The sequence below is a fragment of the Homo sapiens genome, chromosome 10 (assembly GCF_000001405.40).
Source record: "Homo sapiens chromosome 10, GRCh38.p14 Primary Assembly".
In the NCBI taxonomy this organism is placed as follows: domain Eukaryota; kingdom Metazoa; phylum Chordata; class Mammalia; order Primates; family Hominidae; genus Homo; species Homo sapiens.
The window spans coordinates 117,695,551-117,715,947 of record NC_000010.11 but is presented as its reverse complement, the minus strand read 5'-3'; positions in this window follow the sequence as shown (position 1 = coordinate 117,715,947).

Sequence of the window (20,397 nt, the reverse complement as noted above, 5' to 3'; positions counted from 1 at the left end):
GCAGAACATGCAGGTTTGTTACATAGGTATACATGTGCCATGGTGGTTTGCTGCACCCATCAACCCAACATCTAGGTTTTAAGCCCTGCATGCATCAGGTATTTCTCCTAATACTATCCCTCCCCTTGCCCCTCACCCCCCAACAAGCCCCTGTGTGTGATGTTCCCCTCCCTGTGTCCATGTGTTCTCATTGTTCAGCTCCCACTTATGAGTGAGAACATGCAGTGTTTGGTTTTCTGTTCCTGTGTTAGTTTGCTGAGAATGATGGCTTCCAGTTTCATCCATGTGCCTGTAAAGGACATGAACTCATTCTTTTTAATGGCTGCGTAGTATTCCATGGTGTAAATGTGCCACATTTTCTTTATCCATTCAATCATTGATGGACATTTGGGTTGGTTCCAAGTCTTTGCTATTGTAAATAGTGCTGCAATAAACATGCGTGTGCATGTGTCTTTACAGTAGAATGATTTATAGAAAAAGATTTCTTAAGGAGGATTATACAGATCATAGAATCTCTAGGTGGGCTGGGAAACCAGATTCAAATGCCACAAGCAATATCGCAGCGAAGGGGCCACTTCGCTGGGAGAAATAGCAACCCACACCATGGGACCATGTTATACTGTGAAACACAAGGTCCCTGTGGCCTACTCTTCAGAACTGATGATGCTGAGCAATGGGCTGCAGGAACTCCACCCTAGCCAGCTCTAACAGATGCCTACACCACCCTGCCCTCACATCTGATCTTCCTGTGCATAGCGACCAACTGCTATTGCTCACTTCACTTCCAAGATTTGCATGGTACACCTACTTGACAGAATTCAGATCATATGCAGATTTCTAGCTGCAAAAGAGTCTGGGAAATGGAGCTTTATTTTGCTTTGTTTTTAGCTTGATGGCATCTACAATACGAAAAGATAAGCTAGAAGGGAGTTGTGATGAGTAGGAAGTGACCTAACCTACAAAATCAGCCAGTCATGTTGGCCATGGTTTTCCTTCTGTAAAAACGAATACATACACCAGAAAACTTGCAGTATACCTACAGTGGATTAGGTGCTGAGCTAAATACTTTCATGTCTGTAAATTAATTCAATTTCCATAAAAAGTCCCTCAGCTAGGTATTTACAACCCTATCTGCAGATGAGAAAAGTGAGGCTTAGAGATATTAAGAAACATTTTTAATCTCATAGAGATAGTGAACAATGGAGCTGAACTTCGCTACTTCCTACTGTAGCAAAATAGCTACTACAGTGAAAAGATCACAGAAGCTCTGCCACTTAGGAGCTGAGTGACCGTAAGCAAGTTATTTGACTTCCCTGAGTCCCAGGTTATTCCTATGAAAAATGGCAACTTCGTAGCTGGAGTAGCAAGCAAGGAGGGAACGAGATAACATATGCGTATCCTTTAGCTTAAGATTCAGAAAATAACTGTTAAATAAATCAATATATAAAGAAATTTGGAAAAACAAACCAAAAATTCTTTTTAAAAAAGGAGGTTCTTCCAACTTCTCACTTCTTGATCACCCTTCTCCTGATAAGTGGTACATGATTTACTTGATAATCTGCCTAATGCAGGAAGGTTTCATGGCCAATAGCGCAATGTTAAAATAGGATTATGTGCCCAGGAAAAGGGAACTTCTTATAGCAGCAGTGTCTCCTTTTAAAAACAGGAGGTCTGTTAGCACTACAGGCTTAATTAAACTGATTCCTTGATGAATCCAGTGTGACAGGGACCTCCGCTGTTAACAGGCAAGTACACCCAGGCTTTCCCTGGGCTTTCTGGGTTGCAAATGCAGAAAAATTGTTAGAGGAATAGTGAAATGGGGAGTTGGGAGAAATCTCTCTTCTTGGGCTAATCTCGGCTTTTGTTTGTGTGCTGAATTCAGGAATGGGGAAGTAAAAATCGAAATACAAAGAACCCAGAGAGAATACATCAATATAGATCTTAAAGAACTTGGGAGTAGGAGAGAGGGCAGGAAAAGGGAAAAACTAGTTCCCAATCAGGAAGAGCTTTTTGGGCGAGTGGAGTGCAGAGAGACTGGAATGTGGAAAACTCCAAACAACTGTTTGAGAAGAACTGGGGAGGAAGAGAGAGAGGGATTTTTAAGAACTGTTGTTGAGGTTGTTCAATGGCTCTCCTTTAATATTTCTGTGTGTTTGGGGAATTCATTTTTAATTAGTTTTGGCCAAAGGATTGTGCTTCTTCGATTCTGACTCTGTACGGACTGGGCCATGCAGGGCCTTATTTGTATTTGGGTTACACTAATTTTTTTAAATTTGGCCAACAAAGCAGTGGCAGTTGCCTTATTTAAGGGCTCATAACTAGATAGAAAAAAAAAAACAATCCCATTAGAAAGTGGGCAAAGGACATGAATAGACAATTCTCAAAAGATGATATACAAATGGCCAACAGACATATGAAAAAATGCTCAACATCACTAAATATCAGGTAAATGCAAATTAAAACTACAATGTGATACCACCTTACTCCTGCAAGAATGGCCATGATTTAAAAATAAAAAAAAAAAAAATAGATGTTGGTGTGGATATAGTGAAAAGGGAACACTTTTACAACGCTGGTGGGAATGTAAACAACTACAACCACTATGACAAACAGTATGAGAGTCTTTAAAAACTAAAAGTAGAACTACCATTTGATCCAGCAATCCCACTACTGGATATCTACCCAGAGGAAAAGGAGTCATTATGTGAAAAATACACTTGCACACACATATTTATAGCTGTACAATATACAATTGCAAAAATGTGGAACCATCCTAAATGTCCATCAACCAACAAGTGGATAAAGAAAATGTGGCATATGTACACCATGGAGTATTACTCAGCCATAAAAAAGGAATGAAATAATGGCATTTGCTGTAACTTGGATGGAATTGGAGATCATTATTCTAAGTGAAGTAACTCAGGAATGGAAAACCAAATATCGTCTATTCTCACTGATAAGTGGGAGCTAAGCCATGAGCATGCAAAGGCAAAAGAATGACATAATGGACTTTGGGGACTTAAGGGGGGTGGTGAGGGCCAAAAGACTACACAGTGGGTACAGTGTACACAGTTCAGGTGGCAGATGCACCAAAATCTCAGAAACAACTTATCCATGTAACCAAAAAAAACCCACCTGTTGTCCCACCTTTATTTTATTTATATATTTTTTAATTGAAATAATAAATAAATAAATATATCAATAAAATAAAGGCTCATAACTTTGAGTTTAGGGCCTGCAAAGGGATGGAAGGTGGGAAAGAAGTTTGCAAGGAATCTGTTCTTCATTCGTTCACCAAACATTGCATGTAGATTGAATATAGAATATGCCTTGTACACAGAAGTATGCACAACTGTTTTTCTTCTTTTTATTTAAAGGCTTTAATTATATGAGTAACACATTACCAATTCTTGTAAAAAAAATCAAACTGATAGAGTTAAAGAACCAGTTACCAGCATTTCATTTAAAAAATAAAATAAGTATTTACAGTGTGCTTCCTATAAACGAGAGGTATAGGACAAGTGCTAAACATGCAAAGTTCTAAGTGCTTTACATGTATTAATTCATATTCTCCTCCAGACAACTCAAGAGATTGGTGTTATAACTATCAACATTTTACAAATGAGAACCCGAGGCATGGGGTGGTTAAGAACATGTCTAAGGCCCCACAGATAGCATGTTATAAAATTGGGATTTGAACCCAGGATGTGTGACTTCAGAGTTCATGCTTTAGCCAACATAACATGCTGACTTTAATCCCATTGACCTCTCTAGAGAAAGACACCATTTTCACTTTGCTCTGTTGCTTCCCAGATATTTTTCTTCAAATTTACATACATAGGCAAACTTATACAAATATTAAAATTGTGTGTGTTATACGTTAACAGAGTGGTTCTCAAACTGTAGTCCTTTGCCATCAGCATTACCACAAAACTTGTGAAAATGTAAATTCCCAGGTCCCACCGTAGACTTACTGAATCACAAACTGCAGGGGTGGGGTCTAGCAATCTGGGTTTTATAAATTCCCGTAAGTGATTCTAATGCTCACTAAAGTTTGAGAACCATTTGTGAGATTCAGTGCTCACTGAAGTTTAAGAACCACTGCATTCAAAGCATGCATAACCCGGGGCCTTCACAGAAGTAGACATCAAAACTGGATTAAATGTGTAAGAATCCTATTAAGGAAAAATCCTGTATGAGAAAAAACAAGGAAGGAGACATATAGGGAGGAAACAGACAAGAAATAAGGACAACCCTGGGGTAACCAGCAGACCACAATGGAGTGTGGTCTCCCGGAGTGAAGAAAGGGTAATGGAAGGTAGGTGGAATCATTCTAGACTGCACCCGAGAGTTCTGGGCTCAAAGTTGGCCGATAAAGGAGTCCCATTTCTTCTAGTGACAGGGTTGCTTTAGTATCATCCTTCCCACATCCAGTCACTGCCAGCCAGCAGCCCATGGGAGGCATGGCCTAGACTCAGACGCAGCGATGGATCTCAAAGTGCGGCAATTAGGACCCTCCATCAGTTATGATCCCTAGGGGTGTACAAGGCTCATTCTCTTGGCTGCCACATAATATCACAGGGGATACTATTGTTTTGCTCAACAATATGCCTTGGAAATCTTTCTTTTTCAGCACATATTGATCTGTTAATTCATTGTAATGGCTGCCTAGTATTCCATTGTATGAATATTCTGTTATTCGTGTAAACATGCCTCTATTGATATTTAACTTATTTCCAGTGGTTTTGCTATTTCATATGGTGATTCAATGTGTATCTCACCTTGTACACTGGAAGAGTTATCAAGAAGTGAAGTTGCTAAGCCACAGTGTGTGTGTGTGTGTGTTTTAATAATCACTACTATATTCCCCTCCAAATGGGCTGCATTGATTTATACTCCCCTGAACAGAAAATAAATGAAAGTAAACATTTCCCCATACCCTGAGCATCACTAGATAACATTAGACTTTTAATTTTTGCCTATCTAATGAATGAAATCATGTCTTATTGTTAATTAGCATTTCCCTGATTACCAGTGAGATTGATCATCTTTTCATATACTTACTGGCCATTTGGATTTCCTCTGTGAATTGTCTATGATATCTGTACCATTATTGCCAATTTACCTAGATGTCATGATGAATAAAATACAGGCCTATTTTCTTGCATTATTAAATCAAAAGTACCTTTTTAATCATTTTGCTTTTTTCAGTTAAGACACTAAACAGATAGGAAAATGTTTGGAGTGTTTGCATGTTAAATGGGTCCTGTTCCCAAGAGGGTGACAAGCCAGTGGATTCTGTGGACTCTGTGCTCCAGAGAGCCCAGGGCCTGAAGCAGGATACAGAAGGGCTGAGCCAGGATGGCCTGAGCCAGCCTTTCATAGACCCTGCAAACATCAGCCCTGGACAGAGGGAAGCCTGGAGGTCCAGCCAGCCCAAAGACAGCTTTCCTGGGAAGGTATCTCCAAGTGACGTGACACCAGATAAGGTCTTCTCTTCCCTTCCCGCTTTCACCCCACTGGCTGGTGTCCTGGCTGTGGAGCGCGATAGATTGGGGCTTAAACCCTCACTCTGCCCTCTACTGGTCTGTGCAGTCTCAGGCAAACCATGAAACGTCTCTGAGCCTCGGCTTCCTCATCTGTAAAATGCAGGTAACCCCAGCTTTCCTACAGCCGCTGTGGAAACCCAAGTGCGGGTCCAGCCCCCAACCCAGAGAGGAGCACAGGAGATGCCCAATGAATAGTTACTGTCACAACTGCAATGTGAATTAACTATTTCAACTACCATAAAAAAGAGAAAGGGGCCAGGCACAGTGGCTCACGCCTGTAATCCCAGCATTTTGGGAGGCCGAGGCAGGTGGATCACCTGAGGTCAGGAGTTTGAGACCAGCCTGGCCAACATGATGAAACCCCATCTCTACTAAAAATACAAAAGTTAGCCAGATATAGTGACACATGCCTGTAGTCTCAGCTACTCGGGAGGCTGAGGCAGGAGAATTGCTTGAGCCAGGGAGGCGGAGCTTGCAGTGAGCCGAGATCACGCCACTGTACTCCAGCCTGGACAACAAAACGAGACTCCATCTCAAAAAAAAAAAAAAAGAGAGAGCGAGAGAGAGAAAAGGGTGAGAATATCCTTCAGGCCAGTTTAAGTGAAGAGGGAAGATGTCTAATTCCCTTCTCACACATGGATTCTAGGCTGTGGCTCTATCCAAAGTGCACTTTTAAATTTTATTTTAATTTTTGACATAATATTTGTATATATTTGTGAGGTACCTAGTGATGTTTCTATACATATAATATTTGGCAATCAGGTGAAGGTAATCAGCATATCCATCATCTCAAACATTTATCCTTTTTTGTATTGGGAACATTCAATATCCTCCTTCTAGCTATTTGAAACTATAGGATATCTTAATGTTAACTACAGTCATCCTCCAGAGGTATAGAACACTAGAGCTTATTCCTCCTATCTAGCCATAATTTTGTGTCCCTTAACAAATCTCTCCTTAACTTCCCTTCCCCTACCCTTCCCAGCCTCTAGTGTCCTCTGGTCTAATTTTTACTTCTATGAGATCAACTTTTCTTAACTTCCACCTATGAATGAGAACGTGTGGTGTTTAATTTTCTGTTCTTGGCTTATATCCTTTAATATAGTGCCCTCCACTTCCATCCATGGTGCTTTGAATGACAGGATTTCCTTTTTTGTGGCTGAATAGTATTCCACTGTGTATGTATACTGCATTTTCTTTATGCATCCATCTGCTGTTGGACACCGGGTTGATTCCGTATCTTGGCTCTCTTGACTAGCACTGCAATAAACATGGGGGTACAGAGCACACTTTTGCAGCTTGCTCTGAAGACACTTGATGCAAGCCAGCAGCCTGGGACTCACACTTGGTGTGGTCCCTTCCTCCAGAAGTTTGTCACTTTCCCAGCCACCTGGCTAGACAGAATTTAGTACTGACTTCTTTGTCTCTTGCTGCCTGTCTTAATCTTGTGATGCCAATTAACTTTAATGAAAGTTAGATGGGAAAATTGTGGGGTGTAGATATACAAATATGTCTTTAGCAGAGAAACAAGGACAGCCTCAGAACAGTGGTGATTTCCAGGTGGAAAGAAATGTGGAGGCTTCTGTCTCCTCCGGGTAAAAGACAACTTGTGAAACTCAAAGAAAATAACTCTTGAAGCAGAGGTTTGAACTGTGCCAAGTTTATGACATGAAGGAAGAGGCTTGCAGAAAGGAAGTTCTGATTAAGACTGACAGCTTCGTTGCCACTCCCAGGGGAATGGGTAGGCATTTCTCTTGGACAGGTACGTGGGCTCCACCCACCCACCACATGAGCCCCAGTGGGGGCTGGGGGACACACCTGACTGCTGGTGATGGATTTCCCCTACTTTGAGTTAATTACCCTAATTCCTCACATCTGCAGAGCCCTTCAGAGCTTACAGCATACCCATTATCTTGCTTCATCTCATGACCACCCCGTAGGGTAAGCATGATTTGGGTCCCCACTTTGTTCATGGACAAAAACGAATCGCAGAAAGGTGAGGTGATTTGCCCAGGGCTAAGACTAGACACAGGTATCCCATGAGTACTGCATGTCCTGCTGCTTTTCTCCCAGTCCTGAAGACTTCCTCCTGAATGTGACGGGCAGAATCTGCCAGTGGCATGAGAACCAAGTCACAGGTTGCCACCAGCCATTGCAAAATCCTTATATCCTAGGCCTCATCTGAGGGACACCTCATCTGAGTCGATGCTTCATCCACAACTCCACCTTGGGAGGTACCTGGAGCAGGTGTCACATCCTACGAAAGGCTTTTGGCTTCTAGGTTATATACTTCCTGAATCTTGTCCAAACATTTCATTTATAGCTGAGTTGTTTTATTTTTTCCATACCACCCTGCCCCACTAAAGTACCAAGAAAATGTGCACTCTGATTACATTATTATAACATTCACCCTAAAAGAATTCTTTTGAAATGATTAAATAATAGCTCCCATTTCTCAAATGCAGATGGAGTGGCAGGTCCTATGCTTTGCATGTTATACATATTACATGACTTAGTTCTCACTACAGCCATCTGATGTAGCTATTTTTGATGAGACAACTAGTTATCCACCAAAGAGCAATCTTCCCTTCTTTCATAGGAAGGGAGTTGTAGCTGCCCCACTAGACTGCATTTCTCAGGCACCTTGAGTGACTACATTTAGGTCAATGGGATGTTATTGCAAGCCATGTGTGCAACTTTGGGGTCATTTTCAACTCCAAAGGCAAGCCCCTTGCTGCGATATCTCTATCTCCATCTCCATCTCTGACTCTATCTCCATCTCCATCTCCATCTCCATCTCTATCTCTCTCTGTCTCTGTCTCTATCCATCTCTATCTCTGTCTCTATCTTTAGCTCTATCTCTATCATCTCCCTCCCACTCCTGTGCAAACGTGGTGATCACTTGATTTTGACCATGGACATGAAGACAATGTCCTAGGGGAAGTGGAGCAACAAGATGGAAAGAGCCCAGGTCCTGGCATAACGCACGGACAGAACTTCTCCATCGACCTTGGCTGTTCTCCCAGGACGGATACATGAGAGGGAATTAGACATGCCCTTCTTGAGGCACTGTCTTTTGGTGTCTCTTTGTTTTGTTACTACAGTTTCCTCTTTATTCTAATGAATGCAGTATTATGATATCCATTTTGCAGGTGGGGGACTTAGGCTCCTAAAGATTAAGCGACTTGCCCAAGTTGACACAAATACAGAACAAGGACTGTAGCCCATGTCTGTTGGATTCCAAAACCCTCTGCAATATGATTCATTTACTCATTTATTCCTCTAAGCTTTAGTGACTATGTAATAGAAGCAGGAACCCCAAGGCTTTGCCCATACAGGTGGATCATAAATCCTCACCCTGCCTCCCTCCCTTCCACCCTCAAGAGAACGCTGTGCTCTGGAGGTGTGTCGTCCTGAGAGGCGGATGAGAGTTAATATCAAAACTTCTATCTAGTTATTGTGAAGCCATAAATGGGTCAAGGGCTCTGAAATAGCCCCAGTTCCTTATGCAAATGGGTTCCAAAGAGTAACCTGGGGCTGGCCAAACAAGGGTTAAAAGTTAGACAAGATGGGTAAGTTCTAGTGATCTATTGCACAACCTGGTGACTAGTTATTGATCATATATTGTGTATTTCGTAGTTGCTAAAAGAGTAGATTTTAAATGTTCTCATCACAAAGAAATGATAAGTATGTGAGGTGACGGATATGTTAATTACCATGAATCAATCATTCCACAATGTGTGCATGCATCATAACATCACACTGTACCCCATAAATATATACAATTATTATTTCTCAATTTAAAATAAAATAATTTTTAAACCCTTTTTTAAAAAAAAGTAAGAAAAAAGAGAGAGAGAAACTGACACCACATTCATTAATGCTGTAGAAGCTTTTCCCATGGAGGGCAGGAGTCTGTGAGGATGAAATTACATTTAGGAAAATGTCTTTATGCCTTAATATGTTTTAAGCTGTTTGATCTCTGAGAATTATTATTTGTCAGTGAAAGAGGTTCGCATTTGAGCATGTGCGTGCTTTTACTTATGTTTCATAGATGTGTGTGCATGTGTGGTTATATGTGTATGGGCACAGAATTTAGTATTGACTTCTTTGTCTCTTGCTGTGTGTATGGTATTATAAAAGTAAAGATATATGTGTGATGTGTATGTCTACTGTACATTGGATGTAGCATCTGTGTATTTACATGCGTGTGTTCATTTGTACTTGTGTGTACATGCTGATCCATAGGCAGATCATCCCTTCACACCTTCCCTTGGTGGGCAATCTGGAAAAAGAACTGACATGGTATGGCTCTACCCCAAATTGTCCTGCTCAGACACCCTCTGGTCTCCCCCAAAACACACACACATACACACATACACCTTTTGTCAGTCATCAACAAATTGATAGGCCTCTGGAAATGAGTTGCAAGGTTTACAGTTTGGCTGCTGAAAGGAAGTGGATTAATTCCAGGGCAAGGCCAATCCCTTTGAGTAGATCATGGTGCTTCCCCAATGGGGGCTAGAGATGAACTCTAAAAGGCTTAAAGGAGGAGGCAGCTCTCAGGGAAGGGAGGACCCAAGGACAGGGCACCACAGCCAGGAAGCCAGCTCCTCTTTGGGCTTTCTTTGGGAATTTGTGGGTGCCTTGATCTGTTTTCTGTTGCTTATACCTGAATATCTGAAATTTGGTAATTCATAAAGAAAAGGAGTTTATTTCTTACAGCTGTGAAGGCTGAGCCCAAAGCCAAAGGGCTGCATCTGGTGAGGACCTTCTTGCTGGGGGAACCCTCTGCAGAGTCCCAAGGTGGCACAGGGCATCACACGGGGAGGGGGGCTGAGCGTGCCCACTCCAGTCTCTCTTCCTCTTCTTATAAAGCCACGACTCCCATTCCTATGATAACGCATTCATCCGTTCTGGAGGGGACAAATATTCAGACCACAGCTGTGGGATTCCTGTGAATGGGGCAGTTTTGCATCTTCCCCTCCCTGCATTGTAATTCCTATGAGTTACTCCAATCTTTCCAATAAAATCTGACCCAGCTGGGCAGCAACAAGTGACAAAGTGGTGGGGACGGGGAAACAGTGCCTCAAAAGCTTGTGTTGTTCTCACCTCACCCTCCTTCCCCACAGGTGCCCAGGGCCTGCCTGCCAAAGGTTCATGGCCCAGAAGTCTCAGTTGATGACCCAAAGTGCATGGAGGTTCCAAGGGATCAGCAAATGCTAGTGGGCACTGCTGGAGAGTCAGACACAAGACAAACCCTGGGTTCCCCAGTGTGTCCTGGATGGAGGAAACTCAGCATGGGGAAGGCTGAGGCTTGGGCTACGGCTACCGTGTGCATGGCCTAGGGCTTGGAGCTAGAGCCACAAACTCTAAGCAGATGGACACTCTCCCTTCAACGAGCCTCAGTCCAGGACACCAGTTAAACAGGAAAACAAATCATTGAAAGGCAAAGAAATGTCCCCACGCCAGGGCCTGAGCTGTAAATAAAACTACTGCTAACACGCCATGAGAGCTCACCAGCAGCTGGTCTCAGCACCCTCATGTATTAACTCATTTGATCCTTCCATCAGTCCAACCAGTGGGTGTTGCTATCCCTATTTCACAAACAGGGGAAACTGAGAAATAGAGAGCACATGTGACTTGCCCCAGGTCATATGTCTAGTAAGAAGCAGGCTGGGATTGGAACCCAGGCCGTCTGGCCCCACCGCCGATGTCTCACTGTCGTGTTGCATGTAAGGCAGCAACACAAAGAAGCAGGAACTGGCCTCTGCTTGCAGGAGGCAGGGCAGACTTCAGAGGGGTGGGGTGCTCAGTCCAGGATACCTGAGGGTCAGGACTAACTTGGCAGATGAAGCAGGGGCAGAGGACAAAGTGGGTGGTGTTCTGGGCACTGTTGATGGTGCAGGGTTGACAGAGCAGCAGTTTTCTAAACTTTTTACTGTGACCCACAGTAAGAAATGCATTTCACACTCTGAACTTGTACACATATATGTATGTATAACTGAAACCTTAGTTTCCCAACTCAATTATTATGTAAGATGAACTTCCATTCTATTTCATGTTTCATAAGTGTTGTGTAAAATACCAAGCAAATTGGTATTAGAAGCCCCTGAAGTTTCATAATGAGTAGTAATGCAGGACTCAGAATGGGGTGAGGCCCAGGGCAGAGAATCAGCAACAGCATCAAAACCCAGCAGGGTTGGGAGTAGATGAAGGGATGAAGGTGCCTAAAGCTGAAATTTAAGGAGGCAGTGGTTCACAGGGTCTTGCAAATGCAGGCTTGGCATCAGACAGGGAGCGCCTCCTTAAATTTTGTACCTTAGGCACCTCACTTGTCACGCCCTAGTCTCAGCCCCATGACTGAGCACCTATTCTATGCCAGGCACCAAGCCCAGGGCTTGCATGCACCATTTCATTCACTCATCTCAACAGCCCCTCTTTCCAGTTGAGAAAACTGAGGCCTAGAAAGATGTCCAGAAAGTGTCAGCTATGACCATTAGCCACCCCCAGAAATCTTAGGTGATTGACGGCACCAGGACAACAAACAGGAAGAGCTGGGATGAGGATGGGGGACCCTCAAGAAGCAGGGCTGCCATCCATGCCCAGGTGCACACTGCTTGACTGCTTGTTGATCTGAAGCACAGACATCCACGTGGATTTCCCATAAGCCAACTTTTCAAGAACATTATTTGCAAGTTGCAGAGAGCTCAGCCTGGGAAATCCTCAACACTTGTGTACTTCTGTGCTTAAACAGGGGTGATGTGTGGTGTGTACAAAATGCCCAGACACCAGCTGACTGGTGAGTACTGCAATAAGCTCCCCTCAATATCACAGAGTCCTATCCACTCAGAGAAAGATAAGTTGTGCTTCACCAGAATAAATATAGCCATAAAAATTGTGTCTGAAATCACAAGGGAATATCATTACATACCTACCAAAATGGCTAAAGTTACAAAGATTGACAACACAGAGTATTGGTGAAGGGGAGGAGTAACTGGAATTGTCCCACATTGCTGATGGGAATGTCAATGACATTAGTAAACATTTGGTCAAGTATCTTCTGAAAATAGGCACATCCTTCGACCCTGAAATTTAATTCCCAGATCTATACTCAATAATGACCCAGGAACACATAAGAGATTGTCACAGTAGCAGTATTCATAATAACCCTGAATTGGAACAACCCAAAGGGCTATAAAAGAAGAAGAAATAAATAAATGGTAGAATAGTCATATAATAAAATAGTATACATACATGAAAATAAACTACTGCTACACCTGACAACCTGGATGAATCTCACACACACATTGTTGGATGAAAGAAACCAGGCATAGCTGAATTGCACTGCATGATTGCAGTTACAGAAAGTTCAAAAGACAGGCAAAATGAAACTGTGCTGCTTGGGGACACTCACTTAAGTGATAAAACAATAAAGAAAAGCAAGGAAGTGATTTCTGTAAGAGTCAGAGTAGGCTGTGGTGGTCATTGGAAGGGACACGAGGGGGTGTCTCAGGTGCTGGCCATGTTCTGTTTCCTGACCTAAATGGAAGTTGAAAGGTGTATTCTTTACAATAATTTATGTATTTGTGAATTTATTTTATGTATTTTTGTATATAAGTTATGTTTTGCAATTTAAACACGTATGTATGTTTGGGTGTGTGTATAAATGTGGACCCCTCATCTGTGAGCCGTTCATGTTCCTGGGACCCTGGAAAGCTGACAGCTCGAGGCCCCTAACATGTTGACCTCAGAGTCAGGGAGTCATGAGTTCAAATCCTGACTCCACCCATGGCAAGCTGTGTATTTAGGCAAGTTACAGAGCTTTTCTGAGACTCAATTTCCTTTTTTTTGAAATAATGGGGATAAAAATACCCGTATGAGAAGTAAAAAGCCACATGTATAAAGAGCACATATATTCCTAGCACATTGGTAGGAGCCCAAGAGAGGGTAGCTGAATCAGGAGTGGTAGCAAAGGCAGAAGTAATGGGTCGTTCTTCCTGCTGCTGACAAGAAAATCTTTGCCAGGAAGAGTGCCCACTCGAATTTATGTACTAGAGTTTTCTCTGTTGACATCCTTCATGTTAAGGAGCTAACATGTTAGGGTGCTGCTGCCCCAGACCACAGCTAGCCCTTATGTCACCTTTGGGCAAATTAGAAAACACCCGTTGCTTGGGGCAAACACAGTGCACCACCATTCCCAGTCACTGACACAGATGCCTCCTTGGTGAACATTGAGGCATCTTTAAATTCCTCATTTTTGAACCAAATGCTATGTAAAGAGGAGAAGGCAGGTCAGACCCCACCCCAGAGAAGCACACAGTCAAATCCCATCAATGCGCACAGCCATTCACACATCACCTGGTCAGATTCAGTATTGACGTTGATAAGGTTAGTGGAGCTCTAATGGAAACAGTGACCAATGGCTGTTGTATTTCAATGCAATGCGAGGGGAGTGGGAGGGACCAGGACTTGTAGATTCCACATGGAGAAGCCAGCCATAAATACAGCCTGAAACCCATTCTCGTCTCCACATCCACCTACAGAGGCCCAGGAGCAGGAGGACTGAAGGGGTTGGCTCCACTCTATAGCAGGGAGAACACCCTCCATGTATCCCAGTTTGGAGAGATTTTTGCACACTTGAATTATGACTTAGCATCAGGCAGACTCTGTCATTAGATGCCGCCGTACCCAGTAGCCCCAGAAAAGAGACTGGCTTCCAGGTCCCACTTAGAGAGGGAACTGTTACTGTATCCTAGAGAAGCATCAGGGCCCAGGGCCCAGGAACTATAATCATCACGAAGTTACTACAGATATCAGGTAAAGGAAGTTCCGCCCCTCAAATGGGATTTGACAGGCCCATAAAGGCTGCTTAATACCTCTGAGCCCCATGTGCTTTTGATATCATGTCTCATTTTCTGCATGAATGAGAGACTCAGCCAATCTGAAGAAATGTCAAGTTTTCCTTTCCAGTAGGGGAAGCTCACCTGCTGTCGGCAGCCTTGAGGCCACGTGGCTGGTGGCAGCCTCGCCTGGTAAACACGAGAAGAGCCTAACCCATCAAATTAATGCAGAACGCGCAACTCCCTTTCCCTCCCGAGGATGAGTCTTGACAAACAGGGTTTCAGAGACAAGTCAGAGCGAGTGGAAAGCCCTAATCTCATGATGCTTTGGGGAAGAAAAGAAATTCAGGGCTCATAGGTGAGGTCAAATTTTGGGAATCCTGTCGAGTTTGTGATTGATGACTCCCATATTAACATTCAGGCCCTCTACTCTTGCTCCCTCCAGGGAAGGGAAGTGGAAGTGAATGGATGCTTATTTAGCACCTACAGTTTCAGGCTATCTGCCAGAGTCTCCACCTCTGGTCTTTCTCTAACCCTTATTCCCATTTGACAGAAGGGAACACCAAGTCATGCAGCTGGTAAGTATCAGAGCCAGGCTTCTCATGCCCTCTGAAAGCCACAGCAACTGCTGGGCTCTCCCTTCCTTCCCCTACTCTCCACCACACCCTCAACTACTCTTGCTCCCTCAAAATCTGCCCCCAAGAAAGGGTCTAACAGCAGCCATGTACAACTCCGAGCAGAAGGGTTTGCAGGACAAGGCGGCTGCTGTCTGTTGGAAGGGCCTGGCACACTGCCTTAAATGTGCACATGCAAAACAAATGGGTTGAGTTCACTGGAATCCAGAAGCTTCTCCTAGAGACCCGTCACTGAAATCCATTTCAAGGCCCTGCATGCGGGGTGTATTTTATTTTATTTTTTATTTTTTGAGACAGGGTCTCATTCTGTCATCCAGGCTGGAGTACAGTGGCACGATCTCAGCTCACTGCAACCTCTGCCTCTGGATTCAAGCAATTCTCCTGCCTCAGCCTTCTGAGTAGCTGGGATTAAAGGCACATGCCACCATGCGCAGCTAATTTTTGTATTTTTAGTAGAGATGGGTTTCACCAAGTTGGCCAGACTGACCTCTAGTGATCTGCCTGCTTCGGCCTCCCAAAGTGCTGGGATTACAGGCGTGAGTCACGGCACCCAGCCTGCTTGTGGTTTTGTATTTGTAATTTTATATTCTTCCCCAAAATTGTATCCGCTTTTAGCTTGAAACCTCCCCTGCTGCATGGATGCAGACCGTGTTCTATTTGGGAGGGGTCTTTGGAGGCGGTGCTGATGGAGATGCAGATGCTGGGGTTGCTGGAGAGAACTTAAAGGAAAAGGTGCCCTAACCCTGAGTGAAGAACTGTGTGCGTGCCTCGAGCCTGGGCACTGGCCTTGGTGGAGGCTGAAAGGCCACCTCTGTGCCTTTTGCAAAGAAGGGCATGCCCCCTGGGGTAGAGCACAACAAGTGGCAGGTGACGCCTGTGTGCAGGACACACAAGATGACCAGAACTTGCCAGTCCTCCCTGGAAGGAGCAGTACTTATTTTCCAGGGTTGCCATAACAGATTGCCACACACTGAGTGGCTTAAAACAATAGGACTTTATTCTCTCATGGTTCTCGAGGCCAGAAATTCAAAATCAGGGTGTTAACAGGGCTGGTTCCTTCCGGAGGCTCTAAGGAGGAATGTGTTCCATGCCTCTCTCCTTGTTTCCGGTGGTTGCCGGCAATCCTTGGCGTCCCTTGGCTTGTAGCTGATTCATGGCAATCTATGCCTCTGTCTTCATACAGCCTTCTTTCCTGAGCCTTCTATATCTATGTCCAAATTTCTCTTTCCTTATAAGGACACCGGTCCTTATAAGGACTTGGATTAGGGTCACACTAATCTAGTATGACCTCATCTTAACTTGATTACATCAGCAAAGACCCTATTTTCAAATAAGATAACAGGTATAGGGGTATTAGGACTTGAATATAACTTTTGGGAGGACACAATCCTACCCACTCTAGGAGACAATGAAAACTTAGTCAGAGTGGCCTCCTGGCCTCTTAGCCCCATCAGTATGGCTTCTGAGTCCATGTGCTGCAGCCTCACCATGGGCTGGTTGATCCCGGCAGTTCCTGTTCCTGTGCAGGATGGGAGAAGCCAATCTGGCAGACTGTCCTGGGCTTCTCTTACATGCCCTCAGAAGGCTTGTAATAAAAGAAAGTGCGGGCATGTCTCTTCACCAGTCACCCTGAAAATTAAAGTATATCCGCTCTGGGGATACCTCCCCAATTCACCCACTCCTCTCCATCACTCCCTCTGCCCACCTTTCCTCCATCCTGATGCCTTCAGATTCTGCAAGCCTTTGTTTAATTTTGGAAAATTCAGGAAGTAATAAAGGATAAGTTAGTAACCATCCGTGCTGCAAACATGGCAAGTTGCCTCTCTTCCTTACTAACAAAATCCTGATTTTGTTCAGGGTTGTAAAGCGCTTAGCTAAAAGACTTTGCATTCCAGCCAGCCTTGCAACTGTGGGTGATCATGTGACCCCATTCTGGCCAATGAGACATATGTGAAACTAGTTGCTAGTTGGAACTTACAGGAAGGTTATTTGATAAAGGGGCCATTCAGCCAGTTTCCACCTCTAGCCCTTCACCTTTCCCCCTCTTCCTGCTCTGAATGCAAGAAATGACCCAAGAGGTGGGCAGTCACCTTGAGACACAAGTGACAAACCTGAGAACAAAACTCACATGCTCAGAGGGTTGAGGCCAGGTTCTGCCGGTGTCAGAGAGCCTCCAATCCAACCGTGGCTGTGTCCCCCAGACTTCTTGGAATGGAAGAAAATGAGCCCCTCACTTGCTCAAGCTGTTGTTTTCTAGGTTCTCAGTTACTCAGAGCCAAAGACAATGCCAAGGACAGAGCTGTCCTCGCACCAGCACCCACATACAACCACTGCTAATATTTTGCCCTGTTTCCTTCTAGTCCTTTCTCTGTGTAGAAGAAGACTCCCTTTCTTTGAATGCTGGCTCCTTCACTCACCAGGTAGGTCCCTAAAGCAAATGACTTAACCTCTTTCTCTGTCTTCATTCTTGATCTGTAAATGTACAATAATAGTAGCCTCCACATATAATTTTTTGAAGGCTTAGTGAAATGATACACAAAGTGATGAGCTTCATGTGTGCTTGATACATATTAATTCTTACTAAACATCAGCATTTTATATCCTGCTTTCTTGCATGCCGTTATACCACAGGCATTTTCCCTTGCTTTTAAGACACCTTGTAATCATCATCTAAACAGTGCCTAAAACTTCATATGCACTTAACAAATGTTATTATTATTAATACGAAAATGTCATATCCTACTTTTTAACTTACCATTATGCCATATGCATTCTTCCGTGACAATAAAAAATCCTAGGCTGGGTGTGGCGGCTCACACCTGTAATCCCAGCAGTTTGGGAGGCCAAGGCGGGCAGATCACTTGAGGTCAAGACTTTGAGACCAGCCTGGGCAAACATGGTGAAACCCCATCTCTATTAAAAATACAAAATAATTAGCTGGGCATGGTGGCATGCACCTGTAATCCCAGCTACTGGGGAGAATGAGGCAGAATGAGGCAGAAGAACTGCTTGAACCCAGGAGGTGGAGGTTGCAGTGAGCTGAGATCATGCCACTGCACTTCAGCCTGGGCAATAGAGTGAAACTCTTTCTCAAAAAAAAAAAAAAAATACTTAACATAATTTTGAATGCTTACCTGGCATTTCTTCATGTGGTTCAACCAGAGGTCAGAAATTGTTTTCTTAAAGCACTAGATAGTAAATATTTTTAGGCTTTGCGGGATATATGGTCCCTATGGCAACTACTTAGCTCTGCCATCGTAGCATCAAAGCAGCCACAGACAATACACACAAGAATGGGCATAGCTGTGTTCCAATAAAACTTTATTTACAAAAACAGATGGAGAGCTGGGTTTGATCCAAGGGCCACAGTTTGCTGATCTCTGGGCTAGACCACCATTTATTGAACTAATCCTTCTTATTGTTAGAGCTTAGGCTGGTTCTCAATGTGGGGCTATTATAAATACATCAGCAGGGAAGACCTTGGTGCAAATTATTGACTGCATTTCTGATTATTTCCTTCAGATAGTTTCTCAGGAGAAGAATTGCATTTTTAAGACTCTTGAGTTCTATGTAAAAATTCAGTAGGCATTAATTTTATTTTATTATTTTATTTTTGAGCCAGGACTTGCCCTTGGATCTGTACCTCTGCTTGCTAAGCCACTGTTTTCCAGATATTTCCTGAGCAGGAATTCTGTCCTGGTCTTCTACCAGCCTGCCAATTCCTAGAGTGTAAAGATGTGACCTCCTCTTATTCTGCTGTTGTATGTCTGGCCCCTCAGCTTTGCCATCTCTCTTTCTCTCCCACACATGTGCACACCTGTACAGTATCTATCATGACTACACTAAAGATAGAAAAGAGAAACTTGGCAAGTGGCTGAACAAATGAACACTGCATTTTTAAAACTCCAAGGAGGCGTGACCCAGATGCCTATGGCCAATTGCTGAGACTTGAGTGCAGAGACCTTCATAAACGAGGGGATAAACACTTCACTCTTTCCCAGACACCCCAGGTCAAGGCATCAAAGGAGACAGACATTTGTCCCAGGGTCCTGTGCCCCACTTTGCTTGCCTAGAGCTTGGTGCTACCCCTGTCCCACCCAATCCCCAGAGACTCCCTTGGAGGACACTGATGGGCACCTCTTAGACTCCGCACACCCCCTTTCATCGTCTTCCAGCACCCCAACTTCTTCCCTGGTCCAGCCCCATGGTGGCTTCTTTTACCATGAAACAAGATTGGAGAGAGCTGCCACCTCTGCCAAAATCCAGCTCATGAAAAATTGAAAATGCTCACCTACATTTCTTTTCACCTTGAGTTTTTTGTGAAACAAAATGGCAGGTTCTAAAGGTGAAAAACTGTGATTTTCCCAAACAAATGCCTGTGAAGTGAAAATTGCTAGTTTCGCACAGCTCTATCTGGATAACTATTATTAGTTTGGGCACAATCTGATTAGGAAAAAATGAAACCTGGGTTCTGGTCCCAGCAGGTGTTAAATATTCCTACAGCCAGACTTTCACAGACCAGGAGCCAGTGGGAGGCCTTCCCAGGGCTCTTTCCACCATCACCATCCCTGGGGATGCCCTCTAAACCCAGACCCCCTACCAGACATAGCCAAGCTCAAGAACATTTTTATCATCCTCCCGAGGGCAGGGACATATTTCTTGGGAGACCAGGGGCATCTCCCTGGTAAAGAGCATGGGTTTAGTTCCTCAGAGAGGAGACATACAAGGTTGCCTAGTGGTTTTATATTGGGATAAATAGAATTCCTTAAAATGGTGACCTGAATGGGAACCTCTCCCTCCATGTATTCATTTGCTAGGGCTGTGTATTAGTTCATTTTCACCCTGCTATAAAGATACTACCTGAGACTGGGTAATTTATAAGCAAAAGAGGTTTGATTGACTCACAGTTCTGCATGGCTGGGGAGGCCTCAGGAAAATGGCAATCATGGCAGAAGGCGAAGAAGAAGCAAGGCACGTCTTACATAGCAGCAGGAGAGAGAGAAAAAAAAATGCGTAGGGGAAACTGGCACTTTTAAGCCATCAAGATCTCTTGAAAACTCCCTCACTATCTTGAGTTGGCATGGGAGAACCACCCCCATGGTCCAATGACCTCCCATCAGGCCCCTCCCTTGACATGTGGGGATTACAATTTGAGATGAGATTTGGCTGGGGACACAGAGCCAAACCATTTCAGGCTGCTGTAACAAAGTACCACCGACTGAGGGGCTTAAGAAACAGAAATTTATTTTCTCATAATCCAGGAGCCTAGAAGTCCAAGACCAGGGTGTCAGAGGATTGATTTACTACTCAGAGGCCTCTCTGCTTGGCTTACCAGTAACTGTCTTCTCCCGTGTCTTCACATGATTCTCC